Below are 9,755 nucleotides of genomic sequence, written 5' to 3'. Positions count from 1 at the left end.
TATGTTAATCCGTGACAATTCTCAAATCAAAACTCTCTAGAGCTTTTCCATAGCATGCAGAATGTAAACCAAAGTCCTCATAGTGGTTGAATTTTCCTACTGATATGGGCCCAGTCTTATCACTGATTTCCTACAACTTTCTTCTTTGCTCACTCCACTCCAACCATACTGGTCTCCTTTCTGTTGTTCTAGAATAATAGGTAAGCTTTTACCCAAAGCCTTTTTACTCGTTTCTTTGGCTAGAATCCCTCCCTCAAGTCTCCATTTAATTCACTATGTCTCTTTCATCAGGCATACTCAACATCCACCATCTCAAAGAAAATATCCCTAGACATCCTTAACTAAAAGTGCAACTCTTTCCCATGCCCTAAACAACTAAAAAAGTTACTATCCCATTTTCCTTCTTTATTTTATCTGAAAGAATTTACCAACATCTAAAATACCATATGGTTTACTCACTAATCTTGTTTGTTGCATTTTCCCCACTGCATCATAAGGTTCATGTCATATGGCTGTCCTAGGGTAAGGCCAGCAAGGCATCTAGGTTGCAAAATTTAAGGAGACAGTCACTCTCAGGTCATGCAAGTGCATTCATGCTTGTCACAGACCTGCTTTCATAAAGGCAAAGATTTTAACTTATTTATTAACTGATACTTTCAAAATGCCCATCATAGCGCCTGACATATAGTGGATGTTTACTAAATACTTACTAACTTAATGTATCTCAGATACTTAATAATAATTTTAGAAAACCCAGTATGTCCCAATTAGTATCTACTGATCAGTATTAGAATTTAATAAGAACTTAATCTGCAGTGACCCACTTTAGTTAAGTTCTTTCACATTAACAGGTCGTAAAATGCCTGGTAAAATACAGACGTTCACCTTTTTCTGCAGAGCATATGTTTCAAGACCACCAGTGGATGCCTGAAACCATGGATAGTACCTATATATACTATGTTTTTTTCTTATACATGCATACCTATGATAAAGTTTGATTTAAAAATTTGACACAGTGAGACATTAACAATAATTATTACTAAAATAGAACAATTATAACAATATACCTTAATAAAAGTTATAAAAATAAAAGTTTAATAAGTTATAAAAATAAAAGTTATTTGGTCTTTCTCTCTCTCAAAATACCCTTTTTTTTTTTTTCCTGAGTTGGGGTCTCGCCCTGTCACCCAGGCTGGAGTGCAATGGCGTGATCTCGACTCACTGCAAACTTCACCTCCTGGGTTCAAATGATTCTCCTGCCTCAACCTCCCCTCCCAAGTAGCTGAGATTACAGGTGCCCACAGTCATGCCCAGCTAATCAAAATATCTTACTGTAATGGACTAACCTGTTTCCAGACTGTGGTTGACCCCAGGTAACTGAAACCACAGAAAGAAACTGTGAATAAGGAGGGGCTGCTGTATTAAAAACTTACCTATGGTTGGGTGCAGTGGCTCATGCCTGTAATCCCAGCACTTTGGGAGGCCGAGGTGGGCAGATCATGAGATCAGGAGATCAAGGCCACCCTGGCTAACACAGTGAAACCCCGTCTCTACTAAAAATACAAAAAAATTAGCCAGGCATGGTGGCGGGCACCTGTAGTCCCAGCTACTTGGGAGGCTGAGGCAGGAGAATGGGGTGAACCCGGGAGGCGGAGCTTGCAGTGAGCGGAGATCACGCCACTGCACTCCAGCCTAGGTGACAGAGCAAGACTCCATCTCAAAACAAACAAACGAACAAAAAAAACTTACCTATGTAGGCATATGTTTACACTCAATTTAGAAATGGAGTTGATAACAAGTAATTCCTTACCCCCTAGATAGATACTTAAATCTCCCACATCCGAAGATTATACAACACATAACTGCATTGACCACAAGTAAAATTGAAGGTGTTTACATTTTGTTGAGACATAATATATGAGTAAAAAAGAATAATTTTCGCTAGTGTACTGAAAAAAACTAGGGTATGATATTACCAGAAGAGAAGTGCAGAATGTTTTTTAAGGACTTATCTAAACTGCAAAAATATAGATTTGCAGGGAAACTATGTGGACACAAGTTCTATTGTATCCTATTTACATATCTGGCATCCTACTCAGGTTCTGGTTGTGGGAGAATTATCAGGGTAATCCCTCTGAAGAGAGGGGAAGGTATTGATTAACTGATGGAGCCTCTGAGGACCTGTGGCCTCAGAGTTTTTTTCTGTGACTAGTATGAACCCTGAACACTGAAAGGACACATGCTTCCCAGGTAAGAGAGAAATCTGTAAGAAATACAGGTATATCGATCAGGCGCGGTGGCTCACGCCTGTAATCTCAGCACTTTGGGAGGCTGAGGCGGGCGGATCACCTGAGGTCAGGAATTCGAGACCAGCCTGCACAACATGGAGAAACCCCGTCGCCACTAAAAATACAAAATTAGCCAGGGGTGGTGGCACATGCCTGTCATCCTGGCTACTCAGAAGGCTGAGGCAGGAGCATCGAATCGCTTGAACCGGTGAGGCGGAGGTTGCGGTGAGCCGAGATCGCGCCATTGCACTCCAGCCTGGGCAGCAAGAGTGAGACTCCGTCTCAAAAAAAAAAAAAAAAAAAAAAAGAAAAAGGAAAAGAAAAAAAGAAATGCAGGCATATCTGAGAGTTATTGCAGGTCCAGTTACATACCACATGGTAAAGCAAATATTGCAATAAAGTGAGTGGCATTTTTTTTTTGTTTCTCAGTGCAAACAAAAGTTATGTTTGTACTATACTAACTAGTCTAAGTGTGCAATAGACTTACATCTAAAAAAAAATACATACCTCCATTTAAAAATACGTTATTGCTAAAAAATGCTAACAATCATCTGGCCTTCAGCAAGTCATAGTCTTTTTTGCTGGTGAGAATTTTGCCTCAGTGTCAATGCGTGCTGACTAATCAGGGTGGTGGTTGCTGAAGGCTGGGGTGGCTATGCCAATTTCTTAAAATAATACAGCAGTGAAATTTCCATTGTTCGACTCTTCCTTTCACAAAAGGTTTCTCTGCAGCATGTAATGTTGTTTAATACCATTTTGCCCGCAGTAGAAGTTCTTTTAGAATTGGAGTGAATCCTCTCAAACCCTGCCACTACTTTATCAACTGAATTTATGTAATATTCAAAATCCTTTTTTATCATTTCAACAATGTTCCTAGAATCTTTATCATGAGTAAATTCCATCTCAAAAAACCATTTTCTTTGCTCAGCCATAAGAAGTAACTCCACCCATTAAAGTTATATCATGAGGTTGCATCAATTCGGTCACATCTTCAGGCTCCATTTCTAATTCTAGTTCTCTTGCTATTTCCACCACATCTGCAGTGACTTCTTCTATTGAAACCCTGAATTCCTCAAAGTCATCCATGAGGGCTGGAATCAGCTTCTTCCAAATTCTTGATAATGTTGGTATTTTAACCTCCTCTCATGATCACACATATTCTTAAATGGCATCTAGAAATGGTAAATCTCTTTCAGAAGATTTTCAATTTAGTTTGTCTAGATACATCAGAGGAATCACAATCTATGGCAGCTATGGCATTGCAAAATGTATTTCTTAAATAACAAAACTTGAAAGCCAAAATTACTCCTTGATCCATCGGCTGCAGAATGCATGTGGCGTTAGCAGGCATAAAAATAATATAGCTTTCTTTGTATATCTCTGAGATCAGGGCTCTTGGGTGATCACGTTCATTGTCAATGAGCAGTAACCTTTTGAAAGAAATCTTTTGTTCTGAGCAGTAGGTCTCAAGAGTGTGCTTAAAATATTCAGTAAACCATGCTGTAAATAGATGTGCTGCCATTCAGACTTTGTTGTTCATTTAGAGGGCACAGGCAAACTAGATTTAGCACTGGCTTCATGTTAAAGTCACCAACTGCATTAGCCCTTAATAAGAGAGTCAGCCTGTCTTTTGAAGCTTTGAAGCCAGGCACTGACTTCTCCTCTTTAGCTATGAAAGTCCTAGATGGCATCTTCTTCTAATAAAAGGTTGTCTCATCTACACTGAAAATCTGTGATTTAGTATAGCCGCCTTCTTCAATGATCTTAGCTAGATCTTCTGCATAATTTGTTGTAGTTTCTACATCAGCACTTGCTTCTTCACTTTGAACTTTTATTTTATGGAAAAGACTAATTTCATTAAACCTAATGAACCAACCTCTGCTACCTTCCAACTTTTCTTATGCAGCTTCCTCACCTCTCGCAGCTTCATATAATTGAAGAGAATTAGGACCTTGGTCTAGGTTAGGCTTTGGCTTAAGGGGATATTGTGGCTGGTTTGGTCTTCTATCCAGGGCACTAAAACTTTCTCCATATCAGCAAGAAGACTGCATGGCTTTCTCATCACTTGTGTGTTCACTGGAGTAGCACTTTTAATTTCCTTCCAGAACTTTTCTTTTGCATTTACAACTTGGCTGTTTGTTGCAAGAGGCCTAGTTTTAGACCTATCAGGGCTTTTGACAGGCCTTTGTCACTAATCTTAATCATTTCTAGCTTTTGATTTAAAGTAAGAGCTATGGGACTCTTGCTTTCACTTGAATACTTAGAGGCTATTGTGCAGTTATTCTTTGGCATAATTTCAATATTGTTGTGTCTCAGCAAATAGGGAAGCTTGAGCAGAGGGAGAGAGATGAGGCTGGTCACTGGAGCACTCAGAATGTGCACAATATTTCTCAGTTAAGTTTGCCATTTTATATGGGTGCGCTTCATGGCATCTCATAAAAATTACAATAATATCAAAGATCACTTATCACAGATCACCGTAACTGACATAATTAATAATAATAATAGTAAAGTTTGAAATATGAGATTATCAAAATGTGACAGTGAGACATGAAGTGAGCACATGCTGTTGGAAAAATGGAGTCAGTACATTTGCTTCATGCAGGGTTGTCATGGACCTTCAATTTGTGAAAAAAACATAGTATGTGTGAAGTTCAATAAGGCAAGAACCATAAAACGAGGTATGCCTGTGGATGGAATCCATGAAAACATTTTTGAATAAACTTGAGAAAAAGTCAGGAGAAGAAAATGCATCTCCAAGGAGAATTAACTGACAGGGAAGATATTTGACCAGTAGTTCCACATGAACTATTGGAGGAACTATTCTCTATAGTTCCACATGAAATGTTGATCAAACAAAGCATCTATTAAAGTTCAACAAAAGTGTAGTGAAGTTCAAAGAAATGATTAGAAGATAACAAAAGAAATGAAAAGCAAACTGGATTATTTCTGTGGGGAGGGATAATATAATGTAAAGTATTCCAGAGGCAAAGCAATGTTACAAGCCATAGGGAAAATTATACTAAAGTGAAATTATAGTCAGGGTGGCAGTAGAAAGAATTGAGGAAATTTTGCAATCCAAACAGGTAAAGATCTAGTACAAAATATAAATGATAAACATTATATGTTTGAAAGATAAAGAGTATCCAGCATAAACCTAAATAATTTTCCTTATGTGCATAACCAAAACATAAATAATAATTATCATAACATATGTTGGAAGAAACCTTTCCCAAAATAATATGTGACTGTAGATGAAAAGAACTTTAGGTTTTGCAGTAAAAATATCGATACAAAATAATTAACACAAAGAAAATCCTGTAAAGCTCATTAAAATTCAATAATGAAGAAAAAAATCTTAAAATATCCAGGTAGGAAAACATAGTGATGTACAAAGGAGAAAAATTTCTCCAGTGAAAAACATATTGTAAGAAGATAGTGGAGCAATAAAAGATCTGAGTAACATGATGCCTTTATATACTCTTACCATAAAGGTGAAGGTGTACATTCTGAAACACCAATTCAGGAACACAGCACTTTTGCAATCCTACTTGATCATATCCAAATATTGAAGAAATAAATCAGAACAAATAACTCAGATATATTAGTTTTGTATTGCTGCTATAACAAATTACATAAACTTGGAGACTTAAAACAGTACAATTTTTAAAAAATCATCTAGTTTTGGAGTTCAGCAGTCCAAAACGAGTGTCACCATACTAAAATCAGGGTATCAGTGGGACTTCTAGAGGGTCTAGGGAAAAATCAGTTTCCTTGCCTTTTCCAGACCCTAGAGATTGACAACATTCCTTGGCTCATGGCCACTTCTTTCATTTTCAAATCAAACACGATAGTATTTTCAAATAAGTCTCTGACTTTTACATTATTAGCTTCCTCTGTCACATATAAAGACCCTGGTGATTTAAATTGGATCGACCCAGATAATCCAGGATAATCTCCCCATTGCAATATTCTTAATCACATCTGGAAAGTTCTGGAACATAATGTAACATATTCACAGGTTCTGGGGATTAGAATGTGAATATCTTCAGGAGTTATTCTGCCTACCACATCAGTTATAGGGAAACCATAGTAAAGGACTGGTGCAAATATTAAATCTGTCTAAAAACAGAAATAAGACATATATTGTATAATTTCAGCAATAAATTAGAATATGCATATTATAAATAGAATAGAATGTACATATAAATTTTGAACATATAAAATATAATTTTTTGATAAAATGAGTAATTAAAATATATATATTTTTTCCATTAGAAAAATTTTTTTTTCTTTTATTATTATACTTTAAGTTTTAGGGTACATGTGCACATTGTGCAGGTTAGTTACATATGTATACATGTGCCACGCTGGTGTGCTGCACCCACTAACTCGTCATCTAGCATTAGGTATATCTCCCAATGCTATCCCTCCCACCTCCCCCCACCCCACAACAGTCCCCAGAGTGTGATGTTCCCCTTCCTGTGTCCATGTGATCTCATTGTTCATTTTTCACCTATGAGTGAGAATATGCGGTGTTTGGTTTTTTGTTCTTGCGATAGTTTACTGAGAATGATGATTTCCAATTTCATCCATGTCCCTACAAAGGACATGAACTCATCATTTTTTATGGCTGCAAAGTATTCCATGGTGTATATGTGCCACATTTTCTTAATCCAGCCTATCATTGTTGGACATTTGGGTTGGTTCCAAGTCTTTGCTATTGTGAATAGTGCCACAATAAACATACGAGTGCATGTGTCTTTATAGCAGCATGATTTATAGTCCTTTGGGTATATACCCAGTAATGGGATGGCTGGGTCAAATGGTATTTCTAGTTCTAGATCCTTGAGGAATCGCCACACTGACTTCCACAATGGTTGAACTAGTTTACAGTCCCACCAACAGTGTAAAAGTGTTCCTATTTCTCCACATCCTCTCCAGCACCTGTTGTTTCCTGACTTTTTAATGATCGCCATTCTAACTGGTGTGAGATGGTATCTCATTGTGGTTTTGATTTGCATTTCTCTGATGGCCAGTGATGATGAGCATTTTTTCATGTGTCTTTTGGCTGCATAAATGTCTTCTTTTGAGAAGTGTCTGTTCATGTCCTTGCCCACTTTTTGATGGGGTTGTTTGTTTTTTTCTTGTAAATGTGTTTGAGTTCATTGTAGATTCTGGATATTAGCCCTTTGTCAGATGAGTAGGTTGTGAAAATTTTCTCCCATTTTGTAGGTTGCCTGTTCACTCTGATGGTAGTTTCTTTTGCTGTACAGAAGCTCTTTAGTTTAATTAGATCCCATTTGTCAATTTTGTCTTTTGTTGCCATTGCTTTTGGTGTTTTAGACATGAAGTCCTTGCCCATGCCTATGTCCTGAATGGTATTGCCTAGGTTTTCTTCTAGGGTTTTTATGGTTTTAGATCTAACGTTTAAGTCTTTAATCCATCTTGAATTGATTTTTGTATAAGGTGTAAGGAAGGGATCCAGTTTCAGCTTTCTATATATGGCTAGCCAGTTTTCCCAGCACCATTTATTAAATAGGGAATCCTTTCCCCATTGCTTGTTTTTCTCAGGTTTGTCAAAGATCAGATAGTTGTGGATAGTTGTAGATATGCAGCATTATTTCTGAGGGCTCTGTTCTGTTCCATTGATCTATATCTCTGTTTTGCTACCAGTACCATGCTGTTTTGGTTACTGTAGCCTTGTAGTATAGTTTGAAGTCAGGTAGTGTGATGCCTCCAGCTTTGTTCTTTTGGCTTAGGATTGACTTGGCAATGCGGGCTCTTTTTTGGTTCCATATGAACTTTAAAGTAGCTTTTTCCAATTCTGTGAAGAAAGGCATTGGTAGCTTGATGGGGATGGCATTGAATCTGTAAATTACCTTGGGCAGTATGGCCATTTTCACGATATTGATTCTTCCTACCCATGAGCATGGAATGTTCTTCCATTTGTTTGTATCCTCTTTTATTTCATTGAGCAGTGGTTTGTAGTTCTCCTTGAAGAGGTTCTTCACATCCCTTGTAAGTTGGATTCCTAGGTATTTTATTCTCTTTGAAGCAATTGTGAATGGGAGTTCACTCATGATTTGACTCTCTGTTTGTATGTTGTTGGTGTATAAGAATTCTTGTGATTTTTGTACATTGATTTTGTATCCTGAGACTTTGCTGAAGTTGCTTATCAGCTTAAGGAGATTTTGGGCTGAGACAGTGGGGTTTTCTAGATATACAATCATGTCGTCTGCAAACAGGGACAATTTGACTTCCTCTTTTCCTAATTGAATACCCTTTATTTCCTTCTCCTGCCTGATTGCCCTGGCCAGAACTTCCAACACTATGTTGAATAGGAGTGGTGAGAGAGGGCATCTCTGTCTTGTGCCAGTTTTCAAAGGGAATGCTTCCAGTTTTTGCCCATTCAGTATGATATTGGCTGTGGGTTTGTCATAGATAGCTCTTATTATTTTGAAATACGACCCATCAATACCTAATTTATTGAGAGTTTTTAGCAGGAAGGGTTGTTGAATTTTGTCAAAGGCCTTTTCTGCATCTATTGAGATAATCATGTGGTTTTTGTCTTTGGCTCTGTTTATATGCTGGATTACATTTATTGATTTGCATATATTGAACCAGCCTTGCATCCCAGGGATGAAGCCCACTTGATCATGGTGGATAAGCTTTTTGATGTGCTGCTGGATTCGTTTTGCCAGTATTTTATTGAGGATTTTTGCATCAATGTTCATCAAGGATATTGGTCTAAAATTCTCTTTTTTGGTTGTGTCTCTGCCCGGCTTTGGTATCAGAATGATGCTGGCCTCATAAAATGAGTTAGGGAGGATTCCCTCTTTTTCTATTGATTGGAATAGTTTCAGAAGGAATGGTACCAGTTCCTCCTTGTACCTTTGGTAGAATTCGGCTGAGAATCCATCTGGTCCTGGACTCTTTTTGGTTGGTAAGCTATTGATTATTGCCACAATTTCAGATCCTGTTATTGGTCTATTCAGAGATTCAACTTCTTCCTGGTTTAGTCTTGGGAGAGTGTATGTGTTGAGGAATTTATCCATTTCTTCTAGATTTTCTAGTTTATTTGCATAGAGGTGTTTGTAGTATTCTCTGATGGTAATTTGTATTTCTGTGGGATCGGTGGTGATATCCCCTTTATCATTTTTTATTGCGTCTATTTGATTCTTCTCTCTTTTTTTCTTTATTAGTCTTGCTAGTGGTCTATATATTTTGTTGATCCTTTCAAAAAACCAGCTCCTGGATTCATTAATTTTTTGAAGGGTTTTTTGTGTCTCTATTTCCTTCAGTTCTGCTCTGATTTTAGTTATTTCTTGCCTTCTGCTAGCTTTTGAATGTGTTTGCTCTTGCTTTTCTAGTTCTTTTAATTGTGATGTTAGGGTGTCAATTTTGGATCTTTCCTGCTTTCTCTTGTGGGCATTTAGTGCTATAAGTTTCCCTCTACACACTGCT

General features: G+C 37.4%; 1 annotated feature.

The window, feature by feature from the left end:
• Positions 1,174-1,347: a silencer, noted in NCBI's record as "fragment chr2:210039006-210039179 (GRCh37/hg19 assembly coordinates)". NCBI's record gives its function as "represses an EF-1alpha promoter that drives an FKBP-Casp9 reporter gene in an ReSE screen in HepG2 liver carcinoma cells {active_cell/tissue: HepG2}" and the evidence as "EXISTENCE:reporter gene assay evidence [ECO:0000049][PMID:32094911]".

Source organism: Homo sapiens, chromosome 2, assembly GCF_000001405.40.
Source record: "Homo sapiens chromosome 2, GRCh38.p14 Primary Assembly".
In the NCBI taxonomy this organism is placed as follows: Eukaryota; Metazoa; Chordata; class Mammalia; order Primates; family Hominidae; genus Homo; species Homo sapiens.
Note: the sequence above shows the minus strand (reverse complement) of the source record. Positions and strands in the feature narration are given on the sequence as shown.